Source organism: Homo sapiens, chromosome 1 (assembly GCF_000001405.40).
Source record: "Homo sapiens chromosome 1, GRCh38.p14 Primary Assembly".
NCBI lineage: Eukaryota > Metazoa > Chordata > Mammalia > Primates > Hominidae > Homo > Homo sapiens.
Window position 1 is genome coordinate 18319045 of NC_000001.11, and position 21063 is coordinate 18340107.

General features: G+C 49.7%; 1 protein-coding gene across 4 annotated transcripts in view, besides 2 other annotated features; it reads left to right on the top strand.

The window, feature by feature from the left end:
* The window catches only part of IGSF21 (immunoglobin superfamily member 21), a 270686-nt gene that overhangs the window by 211247 nt on the left and 38376 nt on the right, over positions 1-21063 (top strand). For all 4 annotated transcript variants that reach the window (NM_032880.5, XM_011542319.4, XM_017002604.3 and 1 more), the window contains one exon: positions 15848-15966. In NM_032880.5, coding sequence (NP_116269.3) covers positions 15848-15966 — 119 coding nt within the window. The remainder of the gene's footprint in view (positions 1-15847; positions 15967-21063) is intronic.
* Positions 3491-3785: an enhancer, noted in NCBI's record as "tiled region #11488; HepG2 Activating DNase matched - State 12:CtcfO". NCBI's record gives its function as "activates a minimal TATA promoter and a strong SV40 promoter by Sharpr-MPRA in HepG2 cells {active_cell/tissue: HepG2}" and the evidence as "EXISTENCE:reporter gene assay evidence [ECO:0000049][PMID:27701403]".
* Positions 3491-3785: a silencer, noted in NCBI's record as "tiled region #11488; K562 Repressive non-DNase unmatched - State 20:ReprD". NCBI's record gives its function as "represses a minimal TATA promoter and a strong SV40 promoter by Sharpr-MPRA in K562 cells {active_cell/tissue: K562}" and the evidence as "EXISTENCE:reporter gene assay evidence [ECO:0000049][PMID:27701403]".

Sequence of the window (21063 nt, forward strand, 5' to 3'; positions counted from 1 at the left end):
ACCCAAAGTGAGTATGTCTTAAACTAGATAAGAGTTTATTTTTCTTTCTCCTAAGAGTCCCAGGTAGCCTGTCTAAAGGACAGAGGGTGCTCCTTGGTGTCAGGGACTCAAGCTCCTTCCCTCTTGATGTTCCACTGTGCATGGCTTCCATTCTGAAGGTCACCTTAAAGTTTAAGAAGGCTGCACCAGCTCCAGCCATTACATCTACATTCCAGCTAGGAGGAAGCAGGAAGAAAAAAAGGACACACCCCCTCCTATAAGAACCCTTTAGGAATTTGTGTGTAACACACCTACTTACATCCCTCTGCCAGAACTTAGTCACATGGCCACCTGCTGCAATGGTAACTGGGAAGTGTAGTCTCTATTTTGGGCAACCATGTGTCCAGGAAACTATCATAGTAACTATTACTATGAAAAGAAGCATAGCTGCTGAATTGTTTAACTTCTTTACACAGGCTGTAAGCCCGTGAAGATGAAACTTTGTCTTTGACTTTGGCTCTGAGCTTCTGCTACTTCATTAAAAATTTATGTACTGTTGTTCCTCTCATTAAGTTGTTCCAAGGAATTCACTAGGAGATGACGAATGTAAGTATGTCTAGCAAAGTTTTGGTACTTAATATAAGCTCAGCGATTGTGCATTTGTTTCATCTATTCTACACCAGATGTTACTTGTCTCCCCTTTGTCAGGACTTTGCTCCTCAGTGAAGCCTCCCTGACCTCCCAGCAATTTCAAATTTTAAATAGAAGCGCCCCCTCCACTCCCAGCACTCCCTATCCCTGTCCTGTCTTTCTTTTTCTAAATACACCTGTAATCACCGACCTGCTATATTTTTCAAAGGTTACTTTGTTTACCGTCTGTGTCCCTCAACTAAAATACGAGTTCTATGAGGTCAGTGGTTTTGGTTTCTATTGTTCACAGCTGTATCCCTAGCACCTAGGATAGACCCTGGTACATAGTAGGTACTCAGTAACGATATGTTGGATGCATGAATGACCAGATAGCTATTGCCTTCTCAGAGCTGGGTACTGTGCTCAGTGTGAGAGACAGAACCGGAAGCAAGATATCTTCTAGTTTCCATCTCCCCATGGCACTGAGCCCAGAGCAGAACACGCTAAGATAAATACCTATTACCTTGGATCGGATCTTGGTGCCAGCAGGAGTCCAGGCATTTTAATTTTGTTTTGACAAAGGGGCTGATAGGAGAAGCTGGCTGGCTCCTCTGTCTCTCATCTGCTGGCAGCCCTGGGCACCCTGGCCTGACCTTCCCCGCCTTCAGCACCACGTAGCGCAGGACAGTCAAACATAATTGGCCTGCCCTACTTTTTAAGAGAACCCAGATTGAAGGACTGGGCTTTTGGTGGGCTGACCTGTTTAAGAGCCTTAAGAGGAAGCTCGGAGTTTCAATTTTCCACTGCCAAAGCAAAGCTGTTTTTAGCTCCGCTTTGATGAAGCGGCGGGAGTCAGGTTTGGCCCCGGGTCATCCATCAGCTGACCTGGTTGGGAAAGGCCTCCTGTGGGGGCCCCAGGCCTAACCACAGCTTCGCAAGGAATGCTCAGGTTTGCTTTGCCCAACTGGAGTCATCGGTCCTGCTCTGAAGCTGCCCCTGGTCCATCCCAAAAGACAGACAGTGAGAGAGAGATCTCCAGCCATTCTCAAATATTTTATCTTGTTGATGGGCCCCTGGACTTGAGTTCCTGCCCAATTCCTCCAGGAGTTAGCTGCGTGACCTCAGACAAATTGCTTGGCCTCCCTGGGCCTCAGTTTCCTAATCTGTTCAGTGAGGTTTATCATTCTGATCTCAATGGGTGGTTGTAGGTACTAAATGATGTAATGCCGGTTGACTGCTGTGTCCATCTCAGGCTTTGAGGATATTTCACCTGGACCCTCTCCCTGCAGGAAACTGGGCTGATTGACATCCACGCGGGTAGGCCAAGTCAGCTCAGAGCTTTCTCTCTGAATTGCAGTGCTCTGGCATGCTGCCTGCTTTTCTAGGGGTCAAGCACCATCTCTTTGAACCTCTTTTCTGATCGTTTTGTCAAACTGTGGTGGAAGAGTTTGGCGTCGGGGGCTCTGGCCCTATATTGGAGGGACCCATATGATGCATTCTTGCTGGAGTTTGCTTCCAGGGAAAACATGGTCCCTGCAGACAAAAGGGTCTGCCCTTGGTCACCAGAAGCAGAGGCAGGTTGTGCACCAGGCCTCCATGTTGCTGTAGAGCCACAGTCTGATGCCTCGATGACCCCAGAGCCTCCACTCACTCTGCCTGCCCTTTATGACTCTCTCTCCAGCCTGAAAGAGTTTGTTTCTGTTCTGCCACTGATTGATTGTGTGACCTTGCAGAAGCCTCGGCCTCTCTGTGTGCTACACCCACCTCAAACAGCAACTAGCCTGTGAGTTAAGGGCACTGTCTTCATCCATTTGGAAAGCTGTAATAAAATACCATAAACCAGGTGGTTTATGAACAATAGACATTCATTTCTCACAGCTCTGGAGACCGGGAAGCCCAAGGTCAAGGCAGATTCCAGGTTGGCTGGGGGCCCACTACTTGGCACATGGAGCCCTCTCACCCCATGAGCCAGAAAGTGGCTGTGTCCTCCCATGCTGGAAGAGACCAGGCAGCTCTCTGGGGCCTCTTTTGTGGGGGTGCTCATCCCACCGTAATCGCCTCCCAAAAGCCCCTCCTTCTAATACAATTCCATTGGTAATTAGGTTTCAATATCTGAATTTGAGGAGGACACAGACATTTGGACCGTAGCAGGTATCAGCTCTGGAGCCTGGCTGCAGGGTTCAGGACCCAGCTTTGACACTCTCTGGTTGAGTAACTTCAGCCAACAAGTTGTAAGCAACATCCCTGTGACTCAGTTTCCTCCTCTGTGAGGGCCGGGTGACAATAACAACACCTACTTCATGGGAGTGTTGTGAAATTGAGTTTTACAGATGGGGAAACTGAGGCATTAACTTGTCCCAGATCACTCAACTACAGCATGTTACAGCTGGGTGGTTCTGGCCCATGGGAAGGTCTAGAGAGGTTATTAGCTATTATTGTTCTTATTGCAAAAGGCTTTCCCTGAGAATTGAATGAGATCAGTTTTCAGTGCCTCGCACAGGGTCTCGCACACAGGAGGTGCTCAGTGAACCTCTCACTGGTACACTGATGAACGAGGCCTGCATCGGCTCCTGGAACTCAAGGGCGAGGGACCTGATGCTGACCTTGCCCACAGTAGGGGCACAGCCATGTTCATTGAAAAAAGATCATAGAAACAACAGGTTGAGGAAGTCCGGGAAACCCAGAGGCAGCCACCTTCCACGCCCGTCTTCCCTCTTCTGGTGGAGGCAGGCTTGGTTCCAACAGGCTTGGGGCCTTCCTGATGCCAGCTCTCACCCACCACCAAGTAGAGAGGCAGAGGCAGAGATTCCTGTTAAATAAAGCAATCACGAACGATAGGAAGGAGGCGGCGAGCTCAGCCACGGGCCCAGCCTTCCAAGTTTGCTCACTGCCCAGCTTCTTTGGTCTCATTTCCCTTTGGCCAACCACCTGGCTCCTGGTTCCCCACCACACGGAGTCTTTTTCTGAAGAGCACGTGCCCCACGCCCCCTGCCTGCCAGTCCTGGGATGGCGTCGGGTGAAGGTAGGAAAAACACTCTGAACCCTGGGCCCTCCCGCCCCTGCCCACCCCTGAACCCAGAGCCTGAGTCCAACAGGCTGACCAGTGAGGGGCTAAGTGGATCAGTCAGGACCTGGAGGAGGAAGTGGTTTCCATGGCAGCAGCCAGAGTCTGGAAAAGAGGCCTGGAGAGGAAGCCGGTGGAGAAGAGCGGGAGATGTCGGAATGGGTGAAGGGGAGCGGGAAGCGATGGGCCAGGAAGTCAGGGGAAGGGGTCAGCCAGTGAAAGATGGAGGGTGGGAATGGGGAAGCGGGTTCAGGGCCCAAGGTGAACAGCAGTGGCTGGACAGGGCAGGAAAGAGCGGTCGGGACCAGCGACCCCATATCTGTCACCACCCAAGGGCCTGTCACTGACTTCCTGGCTTGGATGATCTAGGATCCCAAGCTAAGCTCTCTCTGGTTTTTCTTGGGGTAATTCAACATTGGAAAAGAAAACCTGATTTCTCAGAGGTGCTTTCTCACATTGGAAAAAGGTTCCTACCAGTTTGCCCACTGGTAAATCATGACTGGCAGGTCTGGGGTGTCCCTCTAGTCAGGAGTAAGGGAGCTTTCCATGGTGACCTTGTCCTGTCCCAGCTTCACCACCCAGGGCCTCAGGACAAAGGGCTTGAGGTGCAGAAGCTGAAGCTGAGAGCCGATGACCTGCCTGAGGTCACACAGTCCTGGGAGGTAGAGCAGAGTGTGGTGAGCCCCACCCGTCCAGCACCAAAAGTCCCCTTGCAGTGTGAAGATAGAACTGAGAAAGATGTGGCTCAAACATGGCCCAGTGTGAGTCAAGAGTTGTCCCCTCGTTCTCACCCTTCAAGGTCAGCAGGAGGAAATGGCCAAGGAGCTAAGGCAGCTGGGCCGCCAACGATCAGGCCAATTTAAGAGACGTCTATGGCAGGGGTGGAGCCTGAGAGGGGTCCCAGGCTCCCTGAAGCGGGTGAGGGGAGGGCTTAGGGAGGGAGCTGGGGGCAGGGCGGAGAGGGCATCGGCTGGAGTATTCTGGAACTTCTCCCCTCTGTGCCTACTTTCTTTGGTACCCCTCCTAGCCAGCCCTGCATTCCAGTGGATGCCACAGATATTTTGTACCCAATGAGCAACTGTATGACAGAAACCATTTTCAGGTTGGGGGGCGGTGAAAATCATACTAATGGCTTTTTAAAGGCCCTGAAGAAAAAGATTTCAGGCAGCCTTGGAATTGGCGAAAACACATAAGGAGGAAGGTCATAAAATTCCCAGTGTCCAGGGGCTCAGCTCTTAGGTAGTGGGGCTTTTCCGGAGGCTCCAGGCCCCCTGTCCAGCGCTGCCCCATCCCTGCCTCTCTCCCCGGTCCCACTCCCCCATCCCACTCCCAGGCTGTACAACCTGGGAGACCTTCCATCTGTGCTGAGTGTTCTCAGGGAAGCCCACCACATTAAGAATGGCCGGGCTCCTGACTGGCTCCCCAGCCAGAGGAATGGCTGGAAGGTGGCAGGAGACCCCAGGCAGTGGGCTCCCAGCCCCATGGAATGATTCGGCCGTGTCTTTTCCCTGTTTGGCTGGGGGAGAAGTTGGACCCAAATTCTCCTGCGTTGTGTGGTGAAAAGAGCACCATGTATTTCTGGCTCATTGAGATACCTTGACTCATTAAGACTTCTGGCTCACAGCAGCCACAGCTGCCTATCACTGAGCACGTACTCCACATCCGCCTCTGGATGGATGCATAGGCTTTGTAACAAGATGGCCGGATCGCCAAGCCTCCCCAACCGCCTGCAGGGGGCGGTCATGAGCCCCCATTTCCCAGAACCTTTGACGGATCACCTGGTCCAGGTGGCCCGGCCGCTTCTTCCCAGATCTGCTGCTGATTGCTGCCTGGCCTTGCATAAATCACCTCCCTGTCTTTAGTTTTCTTGACTGGACAAACCAGGACTAGCTGGTCACCCTGGTTAAGACCAGACTCTTCTGGGAGAGCTATTAAAGGAATGGAGCTTCTCCATGTACATTCTGTGCTCACAAGACAGGTCCCTTAGCTCAAGGGAGGGTCTCCTGTGTCCCCCTGCTTTTCTGCTTGGTGCTGTCCAATGGCCCCACCCCTCCCGGAGGAAGTGTGTCCCTACTGTGTCCCTGGAAAGGGCCTGATGGAGGAGAAAACCCAGGGCTTGGCCAAAAGGAGGGTAGGGAGTCATTTCAGGATTTCGGGTTATTCCGTCTTCGGTATCCTTGGAGCTGAAACTTCGCCTTCACAGGCAGGTCCCCAGGAATATATTGACACCATTGTTAAGGTGTCCTTAGTCAAGTTCACAGCAGGGAGGATGAGACAATTTGCTCTTGAGCTAGGCCTGGAGTCTGGGTCCCACTTTCTGGGCTGAGCTCGAGTGTAGACCCACCTCCACCAGGCAGGGAAAGACAGAGAGTGCATCGCCATCTCTTTCAGAAGCCGGAGGACAGGAAGCAGGTACAGAGCAGGGGCTGGGAGAGCAGAGCAAGGCTCAGCATTCGGTTAGTGCAGGGGCCATGTCTGTGTGTGTACAGCTTTCTGGCAGCCCCTGGTGTTTGAAAGAACCCCTGTCCTCAAGGAATGTCCATTCAACGATATTCATTAGGCAGCTGCCCTGTGTCAAAAACATCCAAGCACTAGGCTCTGGTATTTGAGGTTTGGTGAAGCCAATGGAAGGAGACCACCCAGTGTGTCTGCGGTGGGGCAGGGCAAGGGTAAACAGATGGATGGACTGAGGGGGAGGGAGAAGGACTGAGGCCCTGAGTCTTCGAGCGGGCTTGTCTGACCAGCAGCAGCGGTACCTGGTGGCTGGTTAGAAATTCTCAGGGCCCCGGAATGATTCTGCCATGCCTCTTTCCTATGTGGCTGGGGGAAAAATTAGACCACAACTCCCCAGCATTGTTTGGTGAAAAGAACATCAGCTATTTTTGATTCATTGAGACTCCAACTGTAGGCTCACCATAATCTGCGCTGGAACCAAATCCTCAGGGGATTCTTGTACATCCCAGAACCCCCCTGGGGTCTCCTGTAAGGGACCCCACCCCACCACAAGGTCTAGGGAGGCCCTTTCCTGCCTGTCTCCATCTGTTTTCCCAGGTCTGCCAGCTACCACAAATGCTACCCCCAGTAGCTAATCTATTCCCCAGTCCTGGGAGGTTTGTGCTCTCACCCAGGGACTGTGATGGAAAAGCAAGATGCCGTGAGGGCAGCCGGGGATAGGCAGCAGCCAGGGCTGGCTGAGCAGGTGCACACCTGGGTCACTAGGCCAAGCTAACTGACCTGAGCCACCCACAGCTCCCAGCCACCTCTGCCAATTACACAGGTGTGAGGAGGTGGGGGGAAGAGCAGAGACCTCTTCCCCGCCCATGCCCCCCCCTTTTTTTTCCAGGGAGTAGCAAACCTTTTCCATGTGTCTTATTAGCAAACATCCCTCTAGTACCCAGAGTGGCCAGACACTTTATCGCCAGTTTTATTAGCTCTGCCTCACGGCTCTGTCCAGGTGGAGCAGGCATTCTGCAAATGTTGCCCCCATATCACAGGGCATGACCCTGAACTTGGAGAATGAGCAGGTGTTGGAGGGAGTGAGAAACAAGGCCCAGGCCTCAGGGAAGAAGCAGCCCATCAGGGATGCATGGCAGGCGCAGAAACAGTAAAACTTCATTACTTCATGCTTGGGATCTTTCCAGCAGGAATGAGGGAGGGCAGAGCCCAGGCAGGCACTTGGCTCATAAGATTGCAGGGGGTGTGTTTAACCTACTTGCAGGAACAACTCTGTCCCCAGCCCTTTAGAAGCTTGGTTTCCATGCAAACAATGGTTATACAAATGAAAAGCCTCTCTCATCTCTTCATTAAAGCACAGCCTCAAAGGACCCATCACTACCTGAATCTTCTCTGTTAGCCCAGAATGAGATACTGTGTATATAAATGAAGACGTTTGAATTACAAAATGCTTTTTAAATCGGGTAGATTATGAAAGTTTGGTCCTGAAGAGTCTTCTCCTTCAGTTGCTGAATTTTGGCAAGGATGCAAAACCACACACCACGTTCCTCCCTCCATCTGTCCCTCCCTTCCTCCTGTCTGGGTCTGGGCCACATCTGAGTTTGCAGTCAGACTGAATTTGGGCTTGCTCCCGTAGTCGATGGAAGCTGCAGGAAGGGTTTATGTTGGGAAAGGACAGGCCAGATCTTCGCTGTCATAAGGTCACTCTGACAGCAGGGTGGGGGCCTCAGGCAGGGAGATGGTGGCAAGAATGAAGACAAAAATGGAGAGGTTCTGGGCCAAGCAAGACAGTGGGGTGGAGGCGAGGAAACATCGATGAGCCTCCTGTGCCACAACATCCTCTAATCTGGGCGAAGATTAAAAGAAAAGAGGGTCAGGGGCACCCAGGCAAATGTCATGCACCCTTTTCTCATAGAGAAATCCTGTAGCTCCCCATTCTTCCTCTCCAAGCCTTTTGATCCACGTTGCACACACAATTCCAACAGGACTTGTTATTTGAAGCTCACTGCAAATTGACAGCAACACTTAGAAAGTAGGAATAGGTTGGCGGGGAGGGGCATGAGGGGCAACATGGAGTGAGCTGCTTCTAGAAGAAGGCACTGAGCAGTGTGGGCAAAAAGACAAAAACTCATGAAAAACCAAGAAGCCATCATGCAGCCACTTTAGAAGACATTTGAGCAGTGTCTTATAAAGTTAGGTATAGGACCAGCCGTGCCATGTCCTCATTTGCACACACAGCACCTCTCCCTGGGCTAACAGAGACGATCCAGGTAGCTGCCAGGCCTTTGAGGCTCTGTTTTAATGAAGAGAGAGCCATCCAGGTGTCCATCAACAGGAGGATGGGTAAGTAAATGGTGTGTAGCCACGAAATGCGATGCTGTTCAGTAGGGAAAGGGACGCAACAATTGGTGAAGGCAACAACATGAATGAATCTCAAAATAATGACAAGGAGTGGAAGAAACCAAGCAAAACATAGTACACACTTTGTGATTCCATTTATATAAAATCCTAGGAATCATGATTTATAGTGACAGAAAGAGGATCAATGGCTGCCTGAGGATGAGGGGCATAGATTATAAAAGGGCACAAGGAGCTTTTTGGGAGAGATGAGTATGTTCATTATCTTGATTGTGGCAATGGTCTCAATACATTGAAACTTATCAAATGTGGAAATGCTGAGTAGGTACAATTTATTGTTTGTCAATTATACCCCAATAAAGCAATTAATAAAATTGAAACAAACAAAGGCAAGGATCCCAGGAGACATTTAGCATCAGGATAAACTCACCTAACACATTGCAAAACCCCTAAGACTCGACAGGATGAGATTGATGTTTGTTTTAATGACCTTGATCCTGGGACAGGTTAATTAACGTCCAGCCTCCTCCCTCTAAGAAGTAGACGGATGTAGACTGGAGGCAGATTCCAGAGAAAAGGTGTCTTTATAGTGTGGTCATTTAAAAGTATAGATGTTCCCGGACTTATGATGGGATTACGTCCCAATAAGTCCATCGTAAGTTCAAAATATCTTAGGTCGAAAATGCACTTAAAACATCTGATCTACAGAACATCATGGCTTAGCGCCTAACCTAGCTTAAATGTGCGGAAAACACTTTCATTAGCCTACACTCGGGCAAAATAATCCAACACAAAGCCCATTTTGTAATAAAGAGCTGAGTATCTCATGGAATGTATTAAATACCATACTGAAATTGAACCATGGAATGGTTGTATGGCTACTCAAAGTCTGGTTTCTACTGAGTGTGTATGACTTTCACGCTGTCTTAAGTAAAAAAATCGTAAGTTGAACCATTGTGAGTCGGGGACCTTCTGTATTGTTTTGTCTGTCTTGTTCCCTTATATATACTCAACACCACAAGCGGTGCATGGTACATGGTGGGTGCTTAACGATTTGTTTTAAAATTTTCATCAATTAACAGTGTAAGGAGAAGAATATGACAAGCACTCCCAGCATGCCAGGCCCTGTTGTAAGTGCACTGGTATGTGTTCATTCATTCAGGCTTCAGTTCTCAGCAAAAGTCAAATATTGGATCACTTGGTTCTTCAACAGCACAGGAAAAGCAAATCAAACTCATTTCCTGTGTCCTCACAGCTCCACCCTCCCCTCCAGTGTCTCCATTCTATGAAAATCTAGGATTCTTCCCAGTGGAAAGGCAAAACCAGGAAAGGAAAGCTAAGCAGAGGCTGTAAACTCGTGTGGGGCGTGGAGAATGTGCACAGGACTTGCTCAGCAAACCTCAGTCATCAGAATTAAGGGGCCCGCCAGAAGCTTGGAGCAGGAAATTTAGGAAAATAAAAGGCCATCCTGTTTCTTCCAGCAGGGAGAAAACATATGGCTCTCATTACCTAGAGAGGTGGCAAGCCTCAGAATAGAGACACGCTCAAGAGTGATGGAGGCAAATTCAGAGACCAGAGAGCTCAAATCAATTTGCTGATAAAGGAAGATCTGGGGGCAGTGGGGGAGAGCATTCATGGGCTCCAGCCTCCATCTGGCTTGAATTCAAATCATGCCACCTACTCACTCTATGTAGCAAAGATTCAGTTAGAGAGGGTAAAATGCTCAGTGCAGTGCCTCCTACTGTAAATCTTTATACATATTGGCACCTCCCCAGATGCTGTAATCCACAAGACAGGTGTCATAGCACCCATGTATCAGATGGAGAAACCGAAGCTCAAAGAAGCCAAAGGACCTCATCCAACATCACATGCTAGTCAGGTGCAGAGCCAAGACTAGAGCCCAGGGCTCTTGACTCCTGGTGCAGACTGTTTCCACTAACCTCATTCATACAGGTGATACTCCTTGAGCACCTACCAAGTGACCAGGCTTCCCTCCTTGCCTGGGAGGGAAAAGAAACAAGTTATACTGCAGCATGACATGGACAGGTATGTGCTCCCAGAGACAGATGCAGCCCTGGAGAGGTGGAGATGAATTATGTCTTTGGAGGGCTGGGCAGTCAAGGTAGCCTGCCTGGTGGAGGTGGCATCTGAATGTAGAGCCTATAGAGCTTAACATTATAGGCACAAGCATGGAGGCAGGGACCAAAACCTCTAGCATCCGTGTACCCACTCCCAATCCAAGCCTCAGTTTAGGGCATGGCATACTTCTGTTGAAGGTGGATGGCCCACAGCCCTGGCTCCAGATTCAGCAGAAGCTGCAGTGCCCAGCGCTTGCATGGCCTTACCTAGTGAAGGCATGCAGGTCACGGGGCATGCAGCATCCGCCCTCGCTGTGCCTGGCTTTTCAAAAACACAATTACTCACCCTTCAGAGATGCCGTCGGTGTTGGTAAACTCCAGCCGCTAAACTGCATTACACTGATCTCTCCAGAAACCTTTGCAGTTATTAATAGTTTATTGATCACAGCCCATTGCTGATGAGAGCAGGCCTCCTCACCCTCACCCCCCTCGGGTCCCTGCTATCTGTGGAAAGCCTTCTATTCATCATGCAGATCAATGCCACTCAATTCTGGGGAAAGGGAGTCTCTGGGCCACTTAATCCACTTTAGAAAGAAAACAGAAAAGACCAAATTTTAGATGAGGTGCTGAGAAGAGATGGATTGGTCAAAATCAAAGCTGTGACCTGGCAGCTGTTTGGTCTGCCAATGAGAACTAGAATCTGCCTTGGTTGGAAGTGGGGGGATCCTGGCCATGTCAGATGGTAACAGGGGAAACCAGGTGAGGGGTGTACAGCGATCTCTGTTATATTTGCAAATCTTCTGTGATTCTAAACTTATCCAAAATACAAATTTTATTTTTTTAGAAAATAACTTGGCTCATGGGAGGAATGGAAAGAATGCCACTGTAGCTGGAGGAAGGGGCAGGGGCGAGAGAGAAGGGAAGGTGGGAGACATGGCTGGAGGAAGGGGCAGGGGCGTGGGAGAAGGGAAGGTGGGAGACATGGCTGGAGGAAGGGGCAGGGGCGTGGGAGAAGGGAAGGTGGGAGACATGGCTGGAGGAAGGGGCAGGGACATGGGATAAGGGAAGGTGGAAGACATAGCTAGAGATGTAGAAGGAAAAAGTGTGCTGGGCCCTGTTGGCCAAGATGATGATTCTTATCTCTCTTTTTGCCATTTTTTATTGATAAACTTTATTTTTTAGAGCAGCTTAAGGTTCACAGCAAAACTGAGCAGAAAGTACAGAAAGTTCCCACCTGCCCCTGTCCCACACATGTACAACCTCTGCCACCATTGACTTCCTACACTTCAGTGACACATTTGTTACCATCAATTAACCTACATGGATACATCGTTACCACCCGAAATCCGTAGTTCACAGTAGGGTTCACTTCTGGTGTTCTGCATTTACTAGGTTTTGGCACATGTTACTACCTTTTGAAATATTTTTATCGAATTGATATTGCTGTTTCATATTTTAAGATTTACAGTTTTATTTCTATTTAGGAGATTTTTATATTCTCCATTTTATTTTATTTTATTTCCATAGGTTATTGGGGAACAGGTAGTGTTTGGTTACATAAGTTCTTTAGTGGTGATTTGTGAGATTTAGGTGCGCCCATCACCCGAGCAGTATGCCCTATCCCAATTTGTAGTCTTTTATCTCTCACCCCCTCCCACCTTTTCCCCCAAATTCCCAAAGTTTATTGTATCATTCTTATGCCTTTGCATCCTCCTAGCTTAGCTCCCACTTATGCATGAGAACATACAATGTTTGGTTTTCCGTTCTTGAGTTACTTCCCTTAGAATAGGGGTCTCCAATTCCATCCAGGTTGCTGTGAATGCCATTATTTTGTTCCTTTTTATGGCTGAATAGTATTCCACGGTATAGATATATACCACAGTTTTTTAATCCACTCATTGATTAATGGGCATTTGAGCTGGTTCCGTATTTTTGCAATTGCAAATTGTGCTGCTATAAACATGCGTGTGCAAGTATCCTTTTCATATAATGTCTTTGTCATAAAAGCAGAGAGAGCCTTTGTTGGGACTTAGGTAAGGGAGTACCATTCATCTCATTTGCATTTGAAAAGATCTAGATTCTACCTGGAGAATGGATCAGGAGGGAGATTACCAGGGATAGAAAGCCCAGTAAACCTCTGCCTCCATATTCCAGGTGAGAAGAGATGCTGACTGTGGAGATGGAGGGAAGTGGATAGTTCAGGATCTATTAGGAGTAGAACACCCAGGACTTGGTCGCTGTCTGTATTTGGAGGGTGTGGAAGTGGGAGATGTCAAGGAGGGTGCCCAAGAGTGTGCCTTGGGCTAATGGTGGAGGACAGGTCTGGACATTCAAGGAACTAGGGAACCTGGGCTTGCTCCTTCAATCGATGGTAGAAGGAGCATCTGGGGCTGTACACATAGTCCTCAGTGAGAAGCTGCCTTTTTCATAAAGCAGCAATCCCGGTGTACCCCGAGCTGTCTTCTATACCACCTGTGAGATGTCACCTACATGTGTCACCCAAGCATATTGCTTACGTTACTATCACCTGAGCATGTCATCAGGGTAGCAGTTGCCTAAACATGACACCTGTGTCGCTATCCTATAAACACATCTTCTGCAGCCATCACCTAGGTGGTGGTTACCTGCACGTATCTGCCTGGGTGTCAACCATGTTATTATTATCTTATTACCTCACCTGGAGAGCTGCCAGCTACACATGTCTCCTGAGCCTGTTTCTTTACAGAGCTGTCACCTGAACCTGCCACCTGAACTCCTTTCACCTACAAAAGTCATTTAAGCAGGTTGTCTTTATAACCAACACCTATGAGTGTCACCAAGTGCAAATTCTGCTCCTACTGTTTGTAAGCCATGGGGTCTTGGGTAAGTCATGCCATCTCTCTCTGAGTCTCTTTTTTTTTTTTTTATCTAAAATATGTCACTCCAGGTGACTGTCACTCAGTAATGGCGCCTGGTAGAGAGGCTATTTTTTCAGTCTAGCTGAGTTACAAACAAAGAAAATCATTCCCAGAGGGGAGACTGGTCCCCTGCTGTTCCCATGTCACTGCGCTCTTTATTCTGAGATCAGGGAGTGGAGGGGGACGGCGTCTTCTCAACAAAGTCCCCCTGATGAAAAGCTTCCCATTCTTTAAGTCCTTCCATGACAGTCGGTAGACCAGATGTCAACCTCTGTGTGTTCTATGTAAATGAAGGTGTTTGTTTATGCTAATGTGTGCTGGGTGGTGGGAGGGATGGGCTGGCTCAGCTCACTAAGACGACAGTGATGGAAAAAGAGGCTGGCAGCCCAGGTGTGGGGGGACAGTGAGTCACAGGGGAAAAGGAGCCAGAAGACGAAGATGGAGCAGGTAGCTAAAAGGAGAGAAGAAAAGAGCGAAGCTGAGGTTATGTTGCTCTGCAAAAGCAGGTGGGAGAGCAAAGTGGGAAGTGTGTCCAGGAGGCTGAAGGGAGGATAAGAACTGGATTGAAAGAACCTCCATTCTCAGGGGTGGCAGATGGGTCACACGCCCAAGAGCCTGAGCGCCAACCAACTGCTGCTCTTTTGTGTCCCCAGTGGGGTCCTTGTCAGGCAGGTTAGTCAGGTAAGTCCATGGGTATGGATCCCTTCCCATAGTTTTCTGCTATGACTTGAGAACTTCTAAGACTTAAACAGAACCCCAGTCCCTCTAAGTTGTAGCCAGAATAGGCTGGAACTCGCATGAAGACAGACATATTTCCCCAATGCAGCAATGACATAGCCTCTGCAACTCCAGGCCAAGGCTCCTTCCCATCCAAGTGTCCAGATTCCACTTGCCAGGAATTCGCTCTCCCCACAGAGCTTCGCAGGACCCAGGAAAAACACAAAATGGCCCCTCTATCCATTTGGTGCAATGTTCCTGCTTACAAAAGTCCTGCAGGGACATCATTGCATTTAATCTTCACTGCAGTCACAGGAAGTAGCATCTCCACTGTTTAGGAAAGAAAATGGAGTCTCCAGGAGAGATGGACTGACTTAGCCAAGGTCCCATGATTTACAAACAGTAGGAGCAGAATTGGAACCTGGTTCTCTTTGACTCCATGTCAAGGCTCTTTTCAATATAGAAGGGAGGAAAGAGCCTCCCTGCTTGCATTTTCCATGGGGAGACAGAGCAACATACCAACTCATTTTCACATGGTCTGACCCTATAGATGCTATGGAAAGATCCAGAACAGGAGCCATCCAACTACAGCCTGCAGGCCAAATCTAGCTCATCGCCTATTTTTTTACAACTTGTGAACTGAGAATGCTTTTTATACTTTGAAATGGTTGGAGAAAAAAACAGAAGAAGGATATTGTATGGCAAATGAAAATTATGTGAAATTCAAATTTAAATGATCATAAGTAAAGTTTTATTGGAGCACAGTTGCACCAATTTGTTTACACACCGATTGTAGCTGCTTTTGTGCTGCAAGGACAGGGTTGAATTGCAATTGTAAAGGGCAAGAAAGCCTAAAATATTTACTCTCTGGACTTTTAGGAGAAAAGACTGAAAGCAGGTTTGAGGGGGTCTCTCCCATCCTTAGGGATCACCTCTTCTGAGACACCCTCCCAACTACCTCAGAGGTGGAAGTGGCTGCTCCCCAACCTGAGCTCAGATAAGCTCACGCTTTTCCATGTGAGTGTGGAACCCAGATCAGCTTCTCTACCTCCTTGTCTACTGGGATGGGGGCTCCTTTGGGACCTGAATTTTATTGTCTTTCTCTTCCATGATCTCAGGACTGGGCATGAAGTGGCAGCATGGCGGCATGGAGAGAGAAATTCAAATTTCCATACTGGTTCTTATTAGCAATTGAGTTCCGTCCTGAGCCTCAGTTTCCTTGTTTATGAAATGGGAATATGGACCCTATGTGGAGGCCGTCATGAGGAAAGAGGGAGCCGATGCCTCCAGTGACAGTTTTGGTCCCATACTGCATGCAGCGACATACTAAATGCCCATACCTCTTCACCTGTGCCATCCTCACGGCTCCCTGGAAGTGGGCACCATCCCAGGCTCATGGAAGCCAACAGGCTAAATAACTGCTCCAGGACCCACTGAGCACAAATTGGGCTCTGGCTGAACACAGTCCACACCTTCACTGTCTGAGATGCCGAGCACAGGGTCTGCATACAGTCGGTGTTCCATAAATGCTCCCCTCCTCCCAGCCCAGCACACAGGCCTGTGTTTGTTAGTGGAGGCTGCACCAGTGGGCATCAGGATGAGTTTCCTTGAACGCTGCCTCACCCAGCCCCACGATGAAGGGCCCTCACCCTGTCTTCTGCCTCCCCCAGGCTGCCCGAGGTCCGGATCTCAGACAATGGTCCCTATGAGTGCCATGTGGGCATCTACGACCGCGCCACCAGGGAGAAGGTGGTCCTGGCATCAGGCAACATCTTCCTCAACGTCATGGGTGAGTGCAGGGCCACTGGCCCCTGGTGTCTCAGTGAGGAGGACGAGTATGCTTGAGTGTGTGAATGTGCGCACAGAGTGGCCATCCTGGGGGCCATCCACCAGAAGTTCTGTTGTGCTGGTGTCTTCCCTTTCCTGCTCTTGTTGTGGAGGGGCAACCAGACCAAGCTGAGCCAAGGTGTGACCCGTGAAGTCTTGCCCCCCATGGGCCTCCCCTCAGGAGGTCCCCTTCTCAGCACAGGTACCCCAACAGGACCCTCCCCAGGGAGTGAAGGATAGCACCTCAGCCGAGATGCACACCTGCTGCAGAGGGAACTATTCTGCCCCTCAGCCAAAAGATTCTCCTGCACCTCCTGAGGCCTTAATGGAGAGGGCATAGGATCTGGAGATGAATTAGAAAGCGCTCATGGCTGGGATTCAGAGCTCCTGGGTTCTCACCCTCTCCCCATGCCTCCATTTATGCACATGTAAAATGGAGGTAATAATACTGGTGTCTGTCTCTAGCTGGCTGGGTCCTTGGGTAAGTCTATCCCCATCCCAGACTCAGTTTTCCCATGTGTAAAACAAGAATGCTGCTCTGCACGTTCTCAGAAGCCCCCACTGGCTCTAATGTTCTTGTCAGATACACACCTTTGGATTCTGGCTCTATTGCAAGGATGCTGGGGACTTGGCCTTGACTCCAGACTCTGTGTTCTCCGGTTTTCTTATCAAATAATACGTATCAGGGAAACAAAGCTTGCGGTACACAGGCAATCGATGAAAGCATAAAGGCCCTGCTGAAAGCCGCCGCTTCTGGGGAAATTGAAAACCTCCAAAGGCCAGACCTCCAGAGGGACATTGATTCCTGCAGCACACCCGTGGTGGTTCTGGCTTCCCGATGGAGCCACAATGCAGGAGGTGGCATTGCCAGGAAAAGCCCCTCTCTCGCAGTTACTCATGCACCACTCAGCTCCTCTGATAAAGGAACTAGCAGCGTTTGGGTGCCTGGCCCTGGGTTGGCCACACCAGGGAACCTAGGAGGGACAGAACTCAGTTTGCACCATCAAGGAACTCCAAGTCTGATGAGAGACATGTACTTAACCAATCATTTATGCATCACAATGTACTGAGCACCTACCTATGAGGTGGCCGGGAATGGACCCAAACTTTTTATAGGAAAAATGCTTATCTGTAGAGATTTTGCAGGAGACAAGCATAAAACACATGCATAGATGAATCAAAAAGAGCCTGCAACATGCTGGAAGGAAATAAAGCAGAGTAAAGGGATAAAGAGTGACTGCAGGTGGGTGGCTGCTAGCATAGGGAGGGGACTCAGGGAAGGCCCCTCTGCAGCTATTGGGCTGAGTGCTTTACATGTGTTATGTCATTTAGTCCTCACAACCAATCCAAGGGTACGTGCTAGCATTAAGTCCATTTTGCAGATGCAGAAATGGATCACAGAGAAAGCAAGCAACTTGCCTAAAGTCACACAGCCAAGATCACAAAATCCTCCTATGATATCAGGCAGCTCAGTGTTGGGCCAGGACCCAGGCATCTTGACTCCAAGGCCAGCTCTGTCGCATTGCTGGAGGCAGTGAAGACACTGCGCTAAGGCCTCAATCTAAGGTGCCTTCAAGCAAGGCCAGAGTCCTTAAAAACCATCCCTCCATGAGGCCCACACTTCCTATTACTTCACCAAAGAACCCTGAGCAGGTTATTCTCCTACTGTGGCCTCAATTTCCCCCATCTGTACTGTATTAGTCCATTTTCATGTTGCTGATAAAGACATACCCAAGACTGGGCAATTTGCAAAAGAAAGAGGTTTAATGGAATCACAGTTCCACGTGGCTAGGGAGGCCTCACAATCGCGGTGGAAGGTGAAAGACACATCTCACATGGTGGAAGACAAGAGAACTTGTGCAGGGAAACTCCCCTTTATGAAATCATCAGATCTTGTGAGACTTATTCACTATCATGAGAAATAGCACAGGAAAGACCGACCCCTATGATTCAGTTATCTCCCACTAGGTCCCTCCTACAACACATGGGAATTGTGGGAGCTACAGTATAAGATGAGATTTGAGTTGGGACACAGCCAAACCATATCATGTATCATCAGAGGGTTGACCAGACCATCCTACACTCCCTCCCAGCTCTGACACTTCTGAGTCCCTTACTCCATCCACTAGGTGAGGAAACTGAGGCACAGAGTGATCTCGTGGGACTCACTCAGGTTGCACAACTGGCCTGATGGTCTCTGCTGAGCAAGGGAGTGTGCTCCTGTGGGCCTCAATTTCCCCATCTGTAAAACAGGGATAAGGATGCTTCCCTCCTAGGGTGGCTGTGAGGCTTAAAGTAGATAAAGTTTGCAGAACGCCTACCTCATCAAGAATATCATTGAAGAGCTCAGTTACTTGGACACTGTTGTTTTTATTATCACTGTCTCTGATGTGCCCACTCCTGGGCACAACTGTGTCTGCCTCCCTCTTGCCCCTGGTTTTGGCCCCAGCAAAGAGAAGTCCCCCATTCACAGCTCCAAAGAGCCCTGCACTAGTCTGAGGAATGACTGCTCTGGGAACACAGCTTCACGCACCGTGGCAACCTGGAAGCCAGGGTGTGTCTCTGGGAGTGGCAGAGACAGGGGTCTCTCCTTACTCACCTTCTCTGGGCTTCTTCCCCAAAGGTCTGCGTGTCCTGGCACCATGCACCTATGGAAGGAGCCAGGATATATCCCAACTGTCATAATGATGGCAATGCCCCACACTTGCCCAATCTGAGCAATTTCAGAGGGGCTTTCACATTGAGGACATCATCCAATCCTCACTGCAGATCGGCGCGTGGGGGATTACTATTATCTCTAACTCACAGATGAAGAGACTGAGACCCAGGGAAGGGAATGAATTTGCTCCAGGCCTTATAGGGTGGGGGTTATCTCTGTGCCAGAGGAGCGTGGCTTCTGTAGCTCACCAAGGTCCTGAATGGTGAGGGGAGGGCCGGGGGAGGCGGCGTGGCTGAGTGTTTCTCATACAGCATCTCCTGTAACCCATCGACCACATGGGCCTGGGAGGCAGGCACCACAATAAGCCCATTGCACAGACCTGGCTCAGAGGGGCATGGGACTTGGCCGAGGTTGGAGGGTTAAAGGAGATAATCTATAGAACAGAATGTTCTGGGCCTGAGGCTTGGCACATTCTGGATGATCAATAAATAGTATCTCTTAATGACAAATAGTAGTCGGGTCAGTTACAAACCAGGCACAATTAGACCAATCTCTGTGAACGTCTCCTTCAAATATGTTTCAGGGCAGGTTTCAAAAATTAAAATCGACTCATTGCTTTGGTTCATCTGTGGCATTGCATTCACACACAAAGACCCTCTCTTCAAACGAGCAGAGGTCACTGAACATTGGGGTCTCTTTTGTGCCACACGGGACCCTAAGGGCCACTGCAGCCAAACTGGGGCAAGACAGACCCTCCCCAGTTTGGAGGTCAATGGGAAGCTCCCAGGACAGTGGGGAGAAGGAGAGCCGAGGAGCTGGGGACGGCCCAGGGCCCACCTGCCTCAAAGCACAGAGCAGTTCCACCAGAAAGCCCAGCACCCCAGTCTACCATCCACACGTCCACATCCAGCACATTCTAACGCGGCCATTTCCAGAGGCCTCCGGGTGAAGATGAAAACGCGAGTGCAGCTGTAATTTCACGCCTATAACATCCCACTGTGTGGTGGGGAAAGACATTTGGGAGTCCCGTGGGTGACACCAAGGGTGTATGCTGCACACGGTCATTAAAATGTTTTTATCCGAGCTGCAGATAAATTGTAAGCCAATTTGAAAGTTGCGTGCTGGGCCCCAGGAACGCATTATACACAGTCATGGAAGGATTTTGAAGGTTCTTCTGGGGGTGCAGGTTAGGGGGGAGGGAGCGTGTTAAGGGTGCGCTGTTACAATCAATTAGATGTTGTGAGAGCCAGGCACCCCACTCCCATCCCCACCGAAGTTAAAAGACTCTGCACTTCTGGCTCCTCTGGAATGCCAAGGGGCAGGGTTTCTCTGCCACCGAGTGGGGCCCTTTCAACCCAAAGCTAAAAAGCAAGGCCACCCTCCGCGTGCCAGCATTGAGCTCAGTGTTCAACCCACAGTTAATACCTCACAAAAGCCCTTGGATGTGGGCCTGGTCATCCCCATTTTACGGATGACGGAGCAGAGGCTCCGAGAGTTTAAGGGGTACATCCACGTGAGTCACAGAGCAGGGTGGGCAGGAGCGGGGCGTCCCACCTGGTCTGCCTGAGCCCAGAGCACGTACTTATACAGCAGCCTTAACTCCCAAAGGAAATTTCCCTCCCCTTGACCCAAAGGCCATGAGTCACACAAACCTCAAACAAGCACTGGAGTGGAGACAGAGTGCAGGGAGTGGGGACTTCCTTGAGACCGAGCCCTAACTAGGTGGCTCAAAAACTCCGATGGTCCTGGCATGGTGGCTCACATGTCTAATCCCAGTACTTCCGGAGGCTGAGGTGGGTGGATCTCTTGAGCCCAGGAGTTCTAGCCCAGCCTGGGCAACCTGGCGAAATCCCGTTTCTACAAAACATTAGCTGGGCTGTGGTGGTATGTGCCTGTAGTCCCAGCTACTCAGGAGGCTGAGGTGGGAGGATTACTTGAGCCTGGGAGGTAAAGGCTGCAGTGAGCTGAGATCACGCCACTGCTTTCTAGCCTGGGCAACAGTGAGACCCTGTCTCCAAAAATGAAACAAAACCAAACCAATAAAACCAAACAACAACAACGAATTCCGATGGATGGGTGGGGCTGTTTGCCTTTCGGAACATGTAGGAGTCTGGAAGGAACACAGAATGTCTGTGCCCTTGCCTCCCTTCCTGTCCCCATCCCCATTTTTGGTTCTCTCATCCACTGCTATCCAGCACCTCCCCCACTTCTCAAACCCTCTGAAAGGAGCACTGAACTTGGAGTCCAGCAGACCTGGGTCCAAATCCCAATTAGTGTCTACTTTTGACATGGACGGTCTAGTATTGAGTTTCCTTTCTGGTAAAACAGCATATCAGAATGTCTTTTTTGTTCAAATATATTATAAGGTGACTTGGATGCCCACGTACATGGACATTCTAA